This window comes from Homo sapiens, chromosome 21 (assembly GCF_000001405.40).
Source record: "Homo sapiens chromosome 21, GRCh38.p14 Primary Assembly".
NCBI classification, from domain to species: domain Eukaryota; kingdom Metazoa; phylum Chordata; class Mammalia; order Primates; family Hominidae; genus Homo; species Homo sapiens.
The window spans coordinates 36,886,462-36,904,778 of record NC_000021.9 but is presented as its reverse complement, the minus strand read 5'-3'; the positions used below and the strand labels follow the sequence as shown (position 1 = coordinate 36,904,778).

General features: G+C 44.6%; 1 protein-coding gene across 17 annotated transcripts in view; it reads left to right on the top strand.

Annotated features, from left to right (window-relative positions):
• The window catches only part of HLCS (holocarboxylase synthetase), a 241,587-nt gene that overhangs the window by 85,433 nt on the left and 137,837 nt on the right, over window positions 1-18,317 (top strand). For 14 of the 17 annotated variants that reach the window (NR_148021.1, NR_148020.2, XM_024452065.2 and 11 more), the window contains one exon: window positions 7,648-7,919. Coding sequence is in view for 15 of the 17 variants with exons in the window: in XM_024452065.2 (XP_024307833.1) it covers window positions 7,648-7,919 (272 nt within the window). In the remaining 2 variants the exon portion in view is untranslated. Of the gene's footprint in view, window positions 1-4,138; window positions 4,188-7,647; window positions 7,920-12,269; window positions 15,592-18,317 lie in introns of those variants that run through there. The other 3 variants (XM_047440756.1, XM_011529540.3, XM_047440755.1) reach the window with 2 other exon arrangements.

Sequence of the window (18,317 nt, the reverse complement as noted above, 5' to 3'; positions counted from 1 at the left end):
AGTCATAATCATAATTTGAGTGCATTTGAGAAGACATGCCAGGCAGATTTATATCAAACAGATAGTAATTTTGGTATTTCTTACAACCAGAATTTTATTCAGAATTTTTATGTTGTCCAGGGTTAATGGTGGAGCGGGGAGAAAGTTTTGGGGGAGGCTAAATGCTTCCTATGGTACTTAAAATGTATTTGACTATAGTGAATATAAATATTTAAGAGAATTATGGGTGGTATATAGTTATGTTTCATAAGAGGGCCCTGGTTTCATTTGATACCTTTTAGATTCTCTTTGTTCTGAGTAATTCACTTGGTTCTGAGTAAGCCCTGAAAGATTATGTAAAATAAGTATAAGAAAAAAACCTGCATGCCTTGCTTTTATCAGTTTTATTTTGCAGATTTGTACGTGTCTAAGTATTGCTTTCAAAAACAAATAATTTAGATTGTTACTTTAGTAATTAGTAGACATAACAATGATGATGTAATTTCTTGAGAATATGGCTCTCAACTTGCATGCACATAAGAATAGATGATTAAATTTGGCAAGTCAGGTTGACTTACTTTGCCAAAGAGAAGTGTATGTTTGAATAGTTTGAGTGAATTTTTGTCTTGTAGTTATGTGTATGCATCTCTCTTAGTCCGTTTTCTGTTGCTATAACAGAATACCTGAGATTGGGCAATTTAGAAAGAATAGACGTTTATTTAGCTCTTGGTTCTGGAGACTGGAAAATCCAAGAGTGTGGTGCCAGCATCTAGTGAGGGCCTTCTTGCTGCATTATAACATGGGAAGGGAATCACATGGTGAGAGGGCAGGAGTGTGCCAGCTTAGGTCTTTCTTTCTCTTCTTATAAAGCCACCAATCCCACCATAGGTGCCCTACCCTGATGACCCCATTCAATCTCAATTTCTTCCCAAAGGCCCCACCTCCAAGTACCATCAACATATAATTGGGGGATTATGTTTCCAACACATGAAATTTGGAGGACAGATTCAAACTATAGCAATATCTGTCCTTCCTCTTCTCTTTCTACCATGGTACTGTGTTTGAGACACCGTGGGTACTCCATACATGTTTCTTAAATGAATGATGTATACCATAGTCAATCTGGATGATTCACTTTAGAGGATAATTCCTGCATTATTCCTGTTCTGAAAGTTCTACTTAGTGCTGGTTGTTTCTTTTTCATTTTATCCTGGTTTTCATTGACTTTGAATGGGATATTTGTATTACCATCATCTGATGAATAACCTCTTAGCTCTCTGCTTGAGTTAAATAATAGTTTTATCTTTCTGTTTTTGTGATTTAACCTAATTCACCTATATGTATCTCTAGCCTGTGTGGTGACCTGGTGACATCCAGCTGCCCTGGGGAAAGTGATGGAAATTCAGATCTGTGCATTTTATGCTTTAAGGGCATTGACCAAAGTTTTAGGGGCAGAGTTGGTTATAACTAATGGCCAGATTTGAGGTTTGGGGATCACCTTTGTATGTTATTTATTCATTTCTTCTTCTTCTTCCAATAGAGTATATACCAAGGAAAGAATGATGAACAGGGAATAATCCATTTGAAATATATCTTGGTATTCTGTAGTCCGAAAACCGAAAATTAGTACTGTGATAGGACCCAAATGTAGCTTTTGGTAGCTCATTTGAGCTTGACCTCTTCCAACAACTTTTCTGGTTTCTTTGCAAGCAGGATCACCCCTTATTTTGCATGCCTTCTCTGGGAGCTCTCTCTGGTGCTGACCTAAGCTTTTTGGTCCTGGGGCATTCCTCTCACTCTCCTCCCCAACAGGATCACTCATATTTATCTTCCTGTCTCCAGCAGTGTCTCATTTGTGGTCGGTTAGTCTCAGTTACTGCTTTCTGTACACCTTCAGCTCACTGCCTCCTCTCTGCTAAGCCCACATGGCTGGATAGCTGACTGTGGCAGGATAAAAACACAAAATCATGCGGACTTCTCACTCTCAGTTCAGAGTCGCTGACCTTCCGTGGTGCTCAAATGCTTCCAGCTGCCCTGGGGAAGGCGCTGCTCAGAAGATTCTCCCCACTGCATTCGTCTTCTCATTCTCCCTGTTGTCATGTTCGTTCCTCCCTCCCCAAACTTCAACACCTCCTTCCTTCTTTTCTCTCTTAGCCGATGATCTTGCTTCCTATTTATTGAGAACATAGAAGCAATCATAAGATGACTTCTACCGGCTGCCAGCACCAGGATTCCCACCTCCCTGCAGCTGTGGAGCAGGGTGGGAGCAGCGAATTTCAGTTACCAGGCTGTCCCGTATGGCTGTGCAACCGGCAAGGGCCAAGGGAGTTCTGCAGCCAGTGGGGTCATAAGACCAGGTGTCCGCAGAGGGGAACCTGAGCCACCCCCATCCCTATGGGTGAGCTGTCTCTGCTCCCAAGGCTGACCTTTCTGCTTCTGTGCTAGGTCCCACCCCACTTGGCCCTTTGGATTCTTTTCTCTAGGGGACCTTTCACATCAATCTGAAAATGCTGCTGTTTCTCCCCTCTAAACCAAACAAAACCTGCTTTCACCCCATTCCTCCCTCTAGCCACTGCCCCATTCCTCTCTACCCTTTAAAGGAGACCCTTTGCCAGAGTTTTATCCTGGAGTCTGCAGTTTTTCTCTTTTCACTACTCCCATCTGACTTTGGCCTCCATCACGCCTCTCAAACTGCTCTCATCAGAGTCTGGGCTCTGTGGCACCAAGGCCAGCGGTGACTTCTCAGCCCTCTCCCCACGGCACTGTCATCGTCTTCCAACCTTCCAAACTGGAGTCAGGAGACTCCCGCAACCACCGCCCCCCACTGCTGTCCACAGACACACTTGATTTTTCTCTCCCTTTCTCAATCTCTTTTGCACACTCTTTTTGATCTCCCTGAAACCTAAGCATGGACTGCTATTGTTGGTTGAGTTGTGTCCCCCAAAAAGATATGTGAAAGCCCCAGCCCTGGAGCCTGTGAATATGACCTTATTTGGAAGCTGGGTCTTTGCAGATGTAATCAAGTGAAGATGAGGTCATTAGGGTGGATCCCTAATCCAGTACGACTGCTGTCCTCAGAAGACTAGAGGACACACAGAATCGGGACACTTAAAGAGGAGAACGCCATGTGATGATGGCCACAGAGATGGGGGTGATGTGTGTACAAGCCGAGGGGCACCATGGAGTGCCAGCGGCACCAGAAGCAAAGGCGTGAACACTAGTTTCCCCAGAGCCTTCCCAGGAGGCACGGCCCCGTTGACGTGTTCATTTTTGACTTCTGTCCTCCAAAACTGTAAGAATAGATTTCTGGCATCTCAAGCCACCCGGTTTGTAGTCCTTTGTGACAGCAGCCCTACTTTGCATCCTCTTTTTAACTACAGTCACTCTTTTCATGGATCTTATCCTCTTTCTTGGCTTTAAATGATCACCCATAGTCTGACAATTCTCAAATTGATATCCATGGTGCAGACCTCTCCCCTGGATTCTGGACTCACATGTTCTACTGCCAATTCATTGTTTTCAAGGGATTTTTTTTTTCCTTTTTTAAAAAAAATTTTGAGACCGAGTCTTTCTCTGTTGCTCAGGCTGGAATGCAGTGGCATGATCTCAGCTCACTGCAACCTCCACCTCCTGAGTTCAGCCTCCCAGGTAGCTGGGACTACAGATGCCCACCACCATGCCCAGCTAATTTTTGTATTTTTAGTAGAGGTGGGGTTTCACCATGTTGGCCAGGCTGGTCTTGAACTCCTGACCTCAAGTGATTTGACTGCCTGGGCCTCCCAAAGTGCTGGGATTACAGGTGTGAGCCACCGCGCCCAGCCCCCGTGGGATTTTTAATAGATATCTCAAGCTTAGCACACCCAGGGCTCACCTCCTGCCTCTTCCTCTCCAAACCTGCTCTTCCTATAGTATTTCCAGCAGCAGATCTGTCCTTCCAGATGTTTAGGCCAGAAATCTTGGGCTCTTTTTTGAGCCCCTGTTTTCTCTAACATCTCAGATATGACTTGTTAGCAAATCTTGTAGCCTGTACTTCAGAGTCTACTGTGAATCCTATCCTTTCTCACCATGTCTGCTGCATGCTGGTCCAGGCAGTAGTCTCACTCCTAGCTCATTTAGGTGACTTTATAACTAGTTTCTCTGCTTGTTTGTTCCCCTTCAGGCTCTTCTCAACACAGGAGTCAGAGTGGGGTGATCCTGCTCCAACAGAGGTAGGACATCCCACGACCTTCCCCAGAACCTTCTGGGGCTCCCTGTTGCTCCTCGAGTGAAAGCCCCGTCCTTACTGTGGCCTTTGAGGCCCTCCGCGATGTGGACGGTGGCTCTCACCACCCCCTCTGCCTTTCTGGCCCCGGCACTCCACCTTCTGCCCAGGCTCACTCTGCTCAAATGCTGTGCCCTGATCAGGCTCTTTCCCTGCTCCGGGAGCCTCTGCACTTGCTGGAATCCCTTTATAAATAAATATAAAAACATAGTTCTGTGGATTTTGTCCCAGCATCCTCCTTCACTTGCTCCAGGCCTTTCCTTAAGCGTTGCCTTCTTAGCAGGTCCTCCATCTGTCTGGTCTGAAGTGGCCTCCCTCTCTTCTGTGCTTTCTTGTCCCTCCTTTGTACGTGTTACTCTCTAACATTCTGTGTATTGTGTTTACTGTTTTTTAACTTTGTTTTTTTTGTTGTTTTTTGTTTTTTGTTTTTTTTCGAGACTGAGTCTCACTCTATCACCCAGTCTGGAGTGCAGTGGCGCAATCTTGGCTCACTGCAACCTCTGCCTCCTGGGTTCAAGTGATTCTTGTGCCTCAGCCTCCCAAGTAGCCGGGATTACAGGCACCCACCACGATGCATGGCTAATTTTTTGTATTTTTAGTAGAGATGGAGTTTTGTCATGTTGGCCAGGCTGGTCTCAAACTCCTGACCTCGAGTGATCCGCCTTCCTTAGCCTCTCAAAGTGCTGGGATTACAGGCCTGAGCCACTGCGCCCGGACTTTTTTAACTTTCTGACTCCCACATTATAGCATTAACCCTCCAAAGACAGGAATTTTGACCCCTTTGATCATTGCTCCGTCCTCAGAGCCTGTGAGACTGCCTGCCATATGGGAGATATCCCGTAACATTTGTTGAATGGATGACAGAGGGAATAGGTTGCCAGTGTATGGTCAATTGAATTCATTATTATTATTATTTGAGATGCAGTTTTGCTCTGTCTCCAGGCTGGAGTGTGATGGCGTGATCTCGGCTCACTGCAACCTCCGCCACCTGGGTTCAAGAGATTTTCCTGCCTCAGCCTCCTGAGTAGCTGGGATTATAGGTGCATGCCACCATGCCCAGTTAATTTTTGTATTTTTATTAGAGACGGGGTCTCACCATGTTGCCCAGGTTAGTCTTGAACTCCTGGCCTCAAGTGATCCACCCTCTTCAGCCTCCCAAAGTGTTGGGATTACAGGCGTGAACCACTGTGCCCGGCCTGAATTTATTATTTTTAAATAGCTTATGTTTATTTCACCACTTTTTTTTACTCTTAATTATGACAGTTCTCAAACATGGAAAAGAATAGAGAGAATACTGTAACACATACCCCAAATACCCATCATCTAGATTTAATAATTATCAACATAGTTGAATAATTATCAACATTTTGCCTTACTTTATGTATTTTGGGGGTAAATTTTACAGATTTCATGACGTATATACATTTTTAAAAATTAAGGACTTTTCCTATGTCACCACAGTACTTCCTTTTTTTCTTGAGACAGGGTTTGGTTCTGTCACTCAGGCTGGAGTGCAGTGGCGCCATCTTGGCTCACTGCAGCCTCTGCTTCTTGGGCTCAAGCAATCTTTCCACCGCTGCCACCTGAGTATCTGGGACTACAGTTGCACGCCACCATGCCCGGCTAATTTTTGTATTTTTAGGAGAGACAGGGTTTCACCATGTTGCCCAGGCTGGTCTCAGACTCTTGAGCTCAAGCAATTCGCCTGCCTCAGCCTCCCAAAGTGCTGGGATTACAGGTGTGAGCCACTGCGCCTGGCCCCCACAGTACCCTTGTCACACCTATTAAAACTGACAGTAATTCCAGTTTGCTGTCTAATGCATACTGTTCACATTCAGATTTCCTAATTGTCCTTTCCAGCTAGTTTGTTCAAGTTGGGATCCAATAAAGAACCACCCATTGTGTTTCATTATGTCTTTTAAGCCCCTTCTAATCTAGACGGGGTCTCCCTCTCCACCTCTGTGTCCCCACCCCATCTCCACCGTGACATTGACTAGTTGAAGATTCCAGCCCGGCTGTTCTGTAAAATGTTTTATCCCCTGGATTTCTTCTGAATGCTTTCTTTTCTTGTCTTTTTTTTTTTTTTTTTTTTGAGATGGAGTTTCACTCTTTGTTGCCAGGCTGGAGTGCAGTGGAGTGATCTTGGCTCACTGCAGCCTCTGCCTCCCAGGTTCAAGCGATTCTCCTGTCTCAGCCTCCTGAGTAGCTGGGATTACAGGCACCCGCCACCATGCCTGGCAAGTTTTTGTATTTTTAGTAGAGACGGAGTTTCACCATGTTGGTCAGGCTGGTCTTGAACTACTGACCTGAGGTGATCTGCCCGCCTGGGCCTCCCAAAGTGCTGGGATTACAGGTGTGAACCACTGCGCGCGGACCTGAATGCTTTCTTCTGAAGTCATTTGACTCGTTCTCTTCTCCTCTGTATTATCTGCAAACTAGATGTGAGTTTTAAAGGTTGATCAATTGAAATTAGTTGAATTAAGTTTCATCTCTGATGCCACTACTCTGTAGCCACAGGGAGCTTTGGGACGTAAAGGGCCTGGTGTTTGCAGGAGGATGGCCTAAGAGCCTGGATCTGTGTTTACTGAGATCTTAGTAAGTTTTGTACAGGCCTCTTGAGATGATGACTTCCCTCAGCCCTCAGTTCCTGATAAACCACCCTGGAGGAAGGCCTCTGGGACCTCTAAGGTCTGGCGTGGGGGAACCTCCTCCAGCCTTGTGGTTTTGGGGATAGAGTAGAGAGCTCTGTGCCTGGATTGGACAACGTCTCTTCTAGGTTTTGCCTTCCTTCTCCTCCTTGTACCTCCATTTGGGGCAAACAGAAAGCAGCTTTGGGGTACCCCACTTTCCCTTTGTGAAGATTATTGTCTTCTTTGTTGGTGATCAACTTGCCTTGTCTTTACAAGAGGAAGCGGAGATTCTCTAAGATGTGAGGCTGAGACCGAGTGTTCTTGTATTTGAGTGCTTTGTGTTCTGTGACTTCTTTCACCCAGGGTTTTCTGTTGTTGTTTTTGCAAATAGGATAATGAATTTCTTTGTGGGGCAAAAAGATAAAAGTTTTCCGTAAAATGAACGGAGGACTGGAGAACTACTTATGAACTCTGGACTGGAGGGGAATCTTGAAAATCATGAGAGAATGTAAGATGTAAGATAGGAAGTATAATCATGAACTGAACTGATTTTCTTGGATCCTGGTTTCTGAAGAGCTTATTTTATAGTATAAGTATACTAAGTATATGATTATCATATTGTCTAATCGTTTAGATGTATGGAATATGTTAATCTAGCTTTTCTTGGTCATGAATTAGGAAGTACTCATATTACCAAAATGGCATTATAAGGAAAAGCTACCATGATCTAATGTAATGCCAAATTACGACCATCTCATTTCTTTCTTTATGACACAGGAAATCAGGGATCCTCTTATGCAGTGGCTTGGGAAACATGTGGACTCCGAGGGAGAAATAAAATCCGGCCAGCTCTCTCTTAGATTTGTTTCATCCTACGTGTCTGAAGTAGAAATAACCCCATCTTGTATACCTGTGGTGACCAACATGGAGGCCTTCTCATCAGAACATTTCAACTTAGAGATCTATCGCCAAAATCTGCAGACCAAGCAGTTGGGGAAAGTAATTTTGTTTGCCGAAGTGACCCCCACAACGATGCGTCTCCTGGATGGGTAAGGTGTGAGCAGGTCTGCATCTGCTCAGAGGAGTCCTGTTCCATTGATCATCCTCTCTTACCAATAGACGGGGAGGGGATAGAGTTGTAGAGGAATACGTTTGACCAGACCTATTAGCAAGGTGGAAGTACTCTTGTCCTAGAAGAGTTAAATCGTGGGAAAGGAAATTGAAGTTCTTTGATCACAGGTTTGTTTTTTATGGGAATGGAAGGTGGTTGTGCTTTGTGTCTTGCTTCTTTGAATCAGGCCCTCAGAATGTTCTTTGATAAACGAATATTATGAAAAAAGATGTTTAACCGGTGGCATTATTGCTCAGGTTATCATTCTTCTTTTGTGCAGTTACAATCAGTGTTAGACATTTAATACAGGATGTTTTTCAGGGGCATTTGAATAGGAAGTTTGAATGACACCTAAGCTGTGTAAATTGAAAAAGGTCAGAGCTTTGTATTTTGAAAAGTGTTTTTGGTACATTGCTATCCAATACATTTATTCATTGATTGATTGATTGAGATAGGATCTTGCTCTGTCACCCAGGCTGGAGTCCAGTGGTACAATCACAGCTCACTGCAGCCTCGACCTTCTGAGCTCAAGGGTTGCTCCTGCCTCAGCCTCCCAAGTAGCTGGGACTATAGGCACACGCCACTATGCCCAGCTAAGTTTTGTATTTTTAGTAGAGACAGGGTTTCACCATGTTGCCCAGGCTGGCCTCGAACTCCTGGGTTCAAGTGATCCTTCTGAGTCAGCCTCCCAGAGTGCTGGGATTTTAGGCGTGAGCCACCCATTCCCAACCCCCATACCTTTTTTAAGCAGTTGATAACCCCATTTGGATATTAGAAATTTACTCTTACTGCAGGTTTTCCTTTTGATTCCTTCTGTTACATAGACTCTGATTAAAGATTAAAAAAATAGAAAACAAATGAAAGGAATTTTTTAAAACTCCCCAATAGTACTAATACTATTTTAGTTTAAAAAATTTGGTTATAGAGGGAGGGAATAACAAAAGTGCCTTCCCTCAGTGCGGTGTTAAAATTTAAGGCGTGAAATATTCCAAAAATAACTGGATTCATAGTTTCTAGGCATTTCACTCATGGGACCACATGATTAGACAGATGTATAATTCAATGTATGGGAATATTTTGGCCTTTTTCTTGATAATAGTTTCTGGAATTTAATGCTATATGGATATAAAATGATGAGCCAACTTTAGCATTTTCTTGACTGTCACACTTAGAGTCATCAGAATGACAGTGTTAGTATGTGTGTTGTATTAGAGGAGGCATTGGCAGAGTTGTTTGGGAGGATTATCAGAGCAATGGGGGCAGGCTGGGAGGGGAGCTGTGAGCCGTGTTCATTAGTAATTGTTGTGTACTGAGTTAATTTGTGATGTCATAGGTACTTTCATTTTTCAGCGCTTCTTAACTCTCCTGTTTCCACCTCACCCCTGACATCCATTGATTCCCAGTAGAAAAGGAAAAAGCCTGTTCTTTTAGATGGAACAGTCATCACTTGCTTGTTGCAAACTCTGTAATAATCCTTTGTTACTCAAGCGAAGACTTCATTATATCGAAGGGGTAACTCGCGATAGTTACATTTTCTGAATAAAAAAATGAGACAAGTTATTGAACAAAAGATTTGGGGAGGTGAAGTTCAGATAGAAAAATACGGGTACTTCCAGGCCATTTTTGTTGTTTCTGTGGAGAATACTGAAGAATATTTCGTGTCATTGCCACCTGGGAACCTTGGAAGTGTGGTCCTGGAGCTCGTGGCCAGGCAGCGTGTCACCAAGAGGGCAGCGCGTCACCAAGAGGGCAGCGCGTCACCAAGAGGGCAGCACACGCCCTGAGAGTGCGGACAGGCTGAGGCTCCCGCACATCCGCAGAGGGCTGGGCTTCACCACACGCTGTCCAGCCTGTGTTTTTGGGTGAAAAAAGAACCTGTATAAATATATTGCCTTAATATTCTTGGATATCAGGAAGTTCACTTTTGATATTAAACTTAAAAAAAAAAAAACCTCTGCCTTAGGAAACTTGGGTCTGTAAAAGTGTTTGACAGACATTGAAGCTGAGCTTGCCAACACTAGAGGTGGAACCTCCCATAGGGTTAAGAGTTTTTACTTTTACAAAGGGGAAAAATATTTTGGCCTTTCTGAGGGTGTTTAGGAATCTTTGTTTCTCTTCTTGTTTGGTTTGATTATTAATTATGAATCCCTTGCTTGGTGCAGAGCTGATACTGGATGAATGGTTGTTGGCGGCCTTAGCTTACCAGATGCCCTGCATCCGCTGTTCCCAGGGTTCCTTCCTAACACTACGAAGTGAGGTTACTCACAGAAACCTACTGAGTCAGTGAACCTGGGAAGAAATTCCTGGCGCGGGGAGGCAGTTGCCTTTTTAAGGAGAAGACATTTGAAGAGGTCATCTTGATGTCAGAGGGACCACGAGATAGATGGATGCACAAAATACATGGCCTGTTACATTCTAAGAATAAGACTAAAATATTTCTAAAACTATATTTGATCCTACATGAGTGTATCAGTTCGTTCTCGCATTGCTATAAAGAACTGAGACTGGGTAGTTTACAAAGAAAAGAGGTTTAATTGGCTCACAGTTCTGCAGGCTGTACAGGAAGCATGGCTGGGGAGGCCGCAGGAAACTTACAATCGTTGCAGAAGGTGAAGGGGAAGCAGGCACGTCCTACATGATGGGAGCAGGAGGAAGAGAGCAAAGGGGGTGGTGTCACACACTTTTAAACAACCAGATCTCATGAGAACTCACTATCATGAGAACAGCAAGGGGAATATCCACCTCTACGATCAAATCACCTCCCACCAGGCCCTCCTCCAACACTGATTACAATTTGACATGAGATTTGGGCAGGAACACAAATCCAAACCATGTTAACGAGCTATACTTATGGAAACATAGTCTATTTGTGATAGTAATAATAGGTTATGTGTACTGGCAGCTGTTCTCTTCCAGTTGCTGCTTTTGTGTGCTTTAAACAAATCCACGAATCTCATACATTATTTTTTAGTGCAGGGATCCCCGACCCCCGGGCTGTGGTCTGCAGCCTGTTAGGAACGGGGCGGCGCAGCAGTAGGTGAGTGGTGCAAGTGAGCATTACTGGCTGAGCCCCGCCCCCTGTCAGATCAGCGGCAGCATTAGATTCTCATAGGAGCTCAAACCCTATTGTGAACTGTGCATGTGAGGGATCTAGATTGCGTGCTCCTTATGAGAATCTGACTAATGCCTCGTGATCTGAGGTGGAGCAGTTTCATCCCGAAACCCCCTGTCCATGGACAAACTGTCTTCCACAAAACCGGACCCTGGTGCCAAAAAGGTTGGGGACTGTTGTTTTAGTGCTTTGGAGTTGTTACTGGAACAGTGTCAAACACTAGTATTATACCAGTGTGTAGAATTCTAGGTAACAGAATTTACTGTGTGTGGAATTGTTCCTGTTTCTGAATATTTATAAAAAATGTTGGATATGGCCAGGCGCGGTGGCTCACACCTGTAATCCCAGCATTTTGGGAGGCCGAGGTGGGTGGATCACTTGAGGTCAGGAGTTCGAGACCAGCCTGACCAATATAGTGAAACCCTGTCTCTACTAAAAATACAAAAATTAGCCAGGCAGTTGTGGTGCACTCCTGTAATCCCAGCTACTCAAGAGGCTGAGGCAGGAGAATTGCTTGAACTTTGGAGGCAGAGGTTGCAGTGAGCCAAGATCGCGCCATTGCACTCTAGCCTGGGTGACCGAACAAGACTCCCATCTCAAAAAAAAGTGGGATACTTTTTTTGTGGCTCATGCCTGTAATTGCAGCACTTTGGGAGGCTGAGGCAGGAGAATTGCTTAAGCCCTGGAGTTTGAGACCAGCCTGGGCAACATGATGAGACTATCACTTTGATGAAACTATTGGATAGAACAAGAAGAATTTTCAGAACTATGGACTGGGTTCTCTCAATGCTTATTTCTCTCTTCGTCTGTGTGTATCATTTCTTCAGCAATTGAGCAGCTCTTTCCTAATGGGCTGAAGTAGGAGTGAAATTTATGTTAGATATAGATCTTGATCATATGATTTACAAAATCTCTTTTTCTCCGTCTACCATTCCCCATCATGGAACCTGCACCAGCTGAAAATTGGGAGTTGTATTCCTAAGGAAGACGGGGAAGGACACAGTGGGGAACAGCCAGCAGTTTCTGCTGAGGTCCCAGATATCCACATGCATTTGTCTTCCCCTCCATAGAAAACTCTCACCTCTTCCTCAAGGAAGATGGCCCTGGTATGACATTCATTTCCTTCCACTTGATCAGATTCAGGATCTCTGGATGATGTGCCGTTTTCTCTTTTAGGGCCGGATGTACCTGTTGAGGTCTTGCAATCTGTTAGCTGAAACAGACGAGCTCTCTGCCCCCAGCACACCATGTGCCACACTGCTGTAGTAGAAATCACGACCATCAAGTCTCCCTGCACCCCCTGCACTGGCGGCCACTATGTTTCCTTGTCGCTGTCTGGCAACCCGCGTTCTGCCCTCCGGGAACTCTCTTGCCTGGGATCTTTTGGAGTCATGGCTTTGCCTTCTGAAAGGGTCTTCTCTGCACCACATCGGAGATGGATGCTGGAGAGGATGGGCTTCCAAAACCCGCTTGCTGGGAGGATTTGGGGTCTGGGTGTTGTTTTGAGGACTGAATAGTCACAGCTTTTTATAGGCCAGCCTTAAGGTTTCTGTAGAGATACAAGTCTCTCAGGACTTTAGTAGCCCTCTAGTCTGTTTGCTTCTGATTGGTTCCATGTGAGTAACCATCAAGATCTTGTCTAGACAGTTTTTCAGCCTAAAAACTCTGGTCTTTTAAAGGCCTCAGCGCTCTGCCATTCCTTTCCCTCCCAATTTAATAGCAACTCCCTTGGGCCAAATGAAACCGTGGGCTTGGGTGGAAGGCCAGGCCCTTAATCATATCTTTGGCACAAGGCTTCTGGGCTCTATGTGGTAAAGCATCTGTCTTATCTCCTGCTGGGGCTGCAGGGACAGCCCCATAGGCTCACTTAGATTGCTGGTTGCTGACACAGAGCTCCTTTCTAATCAAATCTGTATTCTTTCCCACTTTCTTGAGACTAGTTAGCTTTAGTTGGAGATCATTTCTCTTGATTGAACCTTGCTGAGAGTGTCAAGGACTGGCAAGCACTGACATTTTGAATTTTCAGAGCTGTTTCCTGTAAGGATACAGCTTCTAACAGACACCAGGTCTACCTCCCAACATATAGAAGGTCAGGACTCGATCAAAGGTTTTGCTGCGGCAGTCAGCAGTCGAGAACCTGTGAGACCTGTGTCTTTGCCAGTGATCCTCTGCCCATCTCCTCCATATCAGGCTGCATTTTTAGGCCTTGTTTCTGGGGCATACATAAAATCTGAGACCTAGCACCCCCGGTTCAGGTACCGGTTCCTAGGTCAATTAAGATTAGGTTTCACTGTGTGCAACAGATATCTGAAAATAGAAGTGGCTTGAACAGGATGGAAGTTTACTTTTCTCTCCTGCAAATGAGATAGGCTGAGATGGGAAGTCCAGCATTGGTGCGTTGGCTCACGTGTCAAGGACCCAGCTGAGTTGCTCGGCCACCTTCAGCACATGTCCAGGATGGTGATCCCAGTGTTTATGTTCTTACTTGAGCCAGTAAGTGGGAGGAAGGGGTAAAGAAGCTACATCCCCATTCTTCAAGGGACAGAAGTTGCACATGGCCTTTTTGTTTATGTATTATGAACAGGACCTAGTCACGTGACCTACAAACAAGGCTGGGAAATAAATGTGGTCTTTATAGTAGGCAACCATGGATCTAACTGGAAACCAGGCTTCTATCACTAAGGAGGAAAGGAGGGTAGACATTGGTAGACATTGGAAGACAATTAGAATTCTGCCTCAGGCATGTACTTTCAGTTTTTCAGACTACCAAGAAAAATACTTGGAGGCCCTGAAAGTAGTATACCTTCTGATAGTGCCAGGGTCTACCAGATTTAGGATCACAGGTGAAGATAATTATTTGACTTATAACACTGCTTTTGTTTCAGTGCTTACTCAAGGTAATTAGAGGAATTTTTTTTAGGTGTTTACACATCTAGGAGGATTTGGAGATTTCTGACAGATTTTTGAGGGTGTGGTATTTTTTGAGGGCTGGTATTTCAGTACCAGCTGAGCTACCATGGTACTGGTGTAGAGAGCTTTCTTTTGATCTCTCTGGGCATGTGAGTGGCTTGTCTTAGAGCATGAACCCCCCACCGCCTTCACCTTGTGTCTCCACCCCACAAATTTGGAAGTGTGTTTGTGATTGAATAGAGGGGAGAGCACTCTGGGGAGAGGAAGTAGCACAGGGCAATGTGGGTGCCGCTTGCTGATGACTGAGTCCCCTCCACCCCCAGAGTAAAAACTCAAAACCCCGTTAGTGATGCGCTTTCCCCAGGAATCTGACTTGGCTGTGCCACCCAACTCATTTGCTTAGAAAACGTGATTTCATCCTTTATCCTGGGCTCCAGTCATTTTCTCTGACATGTCTTCCCGACCATGAATTGCTTTTCCACACTATTGTCAGGGTAACACCTTCTGGATGCCATGTGTATTAGTCTGTTTCCACATTGCTATAAAGTACTGCCCAAGACTGGGTAATTTACAAAGGAAAGAGGTTTAACTGACTCACAGTTCAGCACGGCTGGGGAGGCCTCAGGAGACTTACAATCGTGGCGGAAGGTGAAGGGAAGCAAGGCACCTTCTTCACAAGGCGGCAGGCAGGAGAATGAACACAGGAGGAACTACCAAACACTTACAAAACCATCAGATCTCATGAGAACTCACCATCACAAGGACAGCATGGGAGAAACAACCCCCATGATCCGATTACCTCCACCCAGTCTCTCCCTTGGCACCTGGGGATTATGGGGATTACAGGGATTATAATTCAAGATGAGATTTGTGTGGGGGCACAGGGCATAACCATATCACCATGCTGTGTGTATTGCCAGTTTTGTTTCACGCCAGAGACCTTTATTTTTCTGTGCTATTTCCTAGTAGGTTTCCCTGTGAGCAGTTAGCTCAGCCAGTTAAGTAGAGTCCCAGGGACATGGGTCCAGTCTGTGTCTGTGTCTGTGTCTGGGACAGTGAACTTCTCCGTGTTCCAGGCTCACATCCCACAGCTACAGCTCAGGAATCCCTTTGCAAAATGTGAGCTATTGGTGGTGATGGGGTCTAGGGAAGTGGGTGTGGACCAGCCACTGCAAATCCATTGTCACTGCAGGAAAAGCCCCTCCCAGAGTTCAGTCTGCCTTGACGTAGTGGGTGTGTGGCACATTCCATTTAATCTCCTGATAAATGATAGTCAACCCTCTGGAGACAGCATGAGGCTAGACTGTGAAACATAGGAGCTTGGGGTAACTGAGTCATTGTGCTATTTTTGGAATCATCTTTTATTTGGCCAATAGCGTCTTTTTTGATTGACTTATACCAAGTCTCCATCAGAGAGTGAAATGACGTGAAACCGCAGTGTGTGGTGAGCAGATGGGCATAAACTTGCTTACGCCAATTTCCTTCGTATACTTGTGCATCCTGAATAAGTTGTCCAAGGTTGGACGTTTTGTATTTGTAAAGAATATTTTAGATTTTCTTATTAAATAAGCTGATTTCTCATTTGTCACCGTTTGAGTCCCTTGATGTTTCAGGCTTAGATTTGACTTCTTTGCCTCATGGGATAAGCAGTTCTGGAGCAACTCCTGTATGCCAGGCACTGTGTTAGGCACTGGAGAGGTGTCCTGGCGGCTCAGGCAGCGTCCATGCCTGACGGTGCGTTTGCAGAAGGAGATCCTAGTGCCTGTGCCAGTTTGTAAAGTTGTGTACACCGTTCTTGGTCTGATCATTGGGGCTTTGGGCAGAAAGGAGGTGGGCACAGTGATATAGGAGCGATGTGTGGTGTTTTGTTTTTGTTTTTGCAGTTACTGTGTGTTGGGCCTTGTTTCTGATGCTGTAGAGCTCGTAATCTAGTAGGGAAAATGCTGGAACCAAGACTTTGTCATTCACTAGCTCTGTGACCTTGACAGTCTCTCCTCCCTGAGCCTTACTGTCTTCAGCTGTGAGATCAGGGGCGTTGGAACACTAGATGCTCTCCAGGCATCTTCAGCTCACCTCCTTTGACCTGGTGATGCGCCCACGCCAGAGCCTCCACCAACCAGCCTTTTATCTCTCAGTGACTTCTGGCGCTTTTAGGTTGCTGAGCTAGTTTTGTGAATCAGCCTCATGTGAGTTGAGGAAATGTTGTGTGGGAGACAGTTGACTTTCTACAAATGAAGGAGAAGAAAAGGAAACACAATCCCATAAAATAAATAAATAAATATATATATATATATATATATATATATATATATATATATATATATATATATTTTTTTTTTTTTTAAATGGGAAGGGGGCAGGATCGCATTGGGGAGAATAGCTGCAGTCATTTAAGAAAGATAGTATTTCGATTTCAGAGTTTGGGACCAACTCCAGCTTTTCAGCTTTGTGCACACCTACCTAGTCAGTCCCAAACATCTTTTCCCCCTTTTCTTCCCTTCTGGGTCTGTGCTGCTAACTGACTCAACTCTGCACCCTCCTCCCCTGAAGTCGAGGCCCGAGAGGACAGAAATTGGGCTGGAACTAATTTAATGGCTGAGTGACCTCACAGTAGAGAAACAGCCGGATCCTAATAGGGGTCTTTGTCTACATTTCCACCCTGGCTGGTAGCATGCCAGTCAAGAGTCAAGCTGGAGACACAGGTGGAAGCGATTAGACCTGTCATAAAGTTTGAAAAATTGATTCTGGAGGCGAAGTGAATAGATTGAGCTTGACAGTGTTGTCCTAAAGATTCTAAGGGAAAATTCTGTAGTTTAATTTGAAATCCCTTGATTATTCATTAGCTTTCCAGATGGCTTTTGTTGATGTTTTACATATTAATGCCTGTATTGTGTTATTGGTGTACTCTTAATGTGCACATAGGTAATGAGCAAAGAATAAATACATTGGTAAGTGTCCCAAATTAATGGGATATTAGCGTAATTGTGAAATAAAGGGTTTTAAAGAAGTTGATTGCTTGGGATAATTAGCACGAATTTTTTTATGTGTCAGTTTGGTACTTTAAAAGTGAAAATTATTGGAGAATTTTAAGAAACCTTCATTTTAATGTTTACTTCTAAAATTTAAAATATAACTTTGGCCTTTGACTTTGGCAACGGTTGTGACTGAAGGGTTATTCTGGCAAATTCTCCATCAAATTTTTTTTGTTGTTCCAATTCAACACCTGAATAAGTTAACCTTTCACATGCCAAGCTCCTGAAGTTGAATTATTCTGTGGCCTGGTATTTTTCAGAGAAGCTTCTACATTAATTTTTAGTGTTCTTGGTTGTTTATTTTCATATTTTGTCACCGATTTTTCAAGTATGGTAGAGTTATTTTGATGTTTACCATTTTGTGATAGTGATAATGTGTTCTATTTAGGTGCATTTTCATTAGAACTGAGCCGTCCCAGTGTCCTCTCAGCGTTGATGTTGATGTCTTCATCATTCCGGGGTGCAGTAACAAAGTGGCATCCACTGAATGGCCTATAAACAACAGAAATTTGTTTCTCACCGTTCTGGAGGCTAGAAGTCTGAGATCAAGGTGCTACCCGGCTTGGTCAAATTATCTTCTAGATTGTAGACTGCTGACTTTTTTTTTTTTTTTTGAGACAGAATCTCACTCTGTGGCCCAGGCTGGAGTGCAGTGGCAGGATCTTGGCTCACTGCAACCTCTGTCTCCGGGGATCAAGCAATTATCCTGCCCCAGCCTCCTGCGCAGCTGGGATTACAGGCATGTGCCACCACACCCAGCTAATTTTTTTTGTATTTTTAGTAGAGACAGGGTTTCACCATGTTGGCCAGTCTGGTCTCGAACCCCTGACCTCAAATGATCCTCCTGCCTCGGCCTTTCAAAGTGCTGGGATTACAGGCATGAGCCACCAGACCCTGCTGACTGCTGACTTCTTGTATCCGCACATGGCAGAAAGAGGGTGAGAGAGCTCTCAACGGTCCTCAGATAGAAGGGCATTAATCCCATTAGTTAGGGCTCCACCCTCATGACTTAATCACCTGCAAAAGTGATTACCATCACATTGGGGGCTGGGATTTCAACACATGAATTTTGACAGAGGGTTGGGGAGGGAACACAAACATTCAATCCATTGCAGTTGAGTATCATTTTACTATTGGACAACTTGAAGCATCCCAAATTTGACTGCGCAGAACAGCAGGAGTGAATGTCACCTGGAGTGGAGCGAACATGGCCTCCTTCAGGGTAGGGCAAGCTGCCCAGCCATGGCAGGGATTCTGCTGAAGCTCTTTCAAACCCATAGCA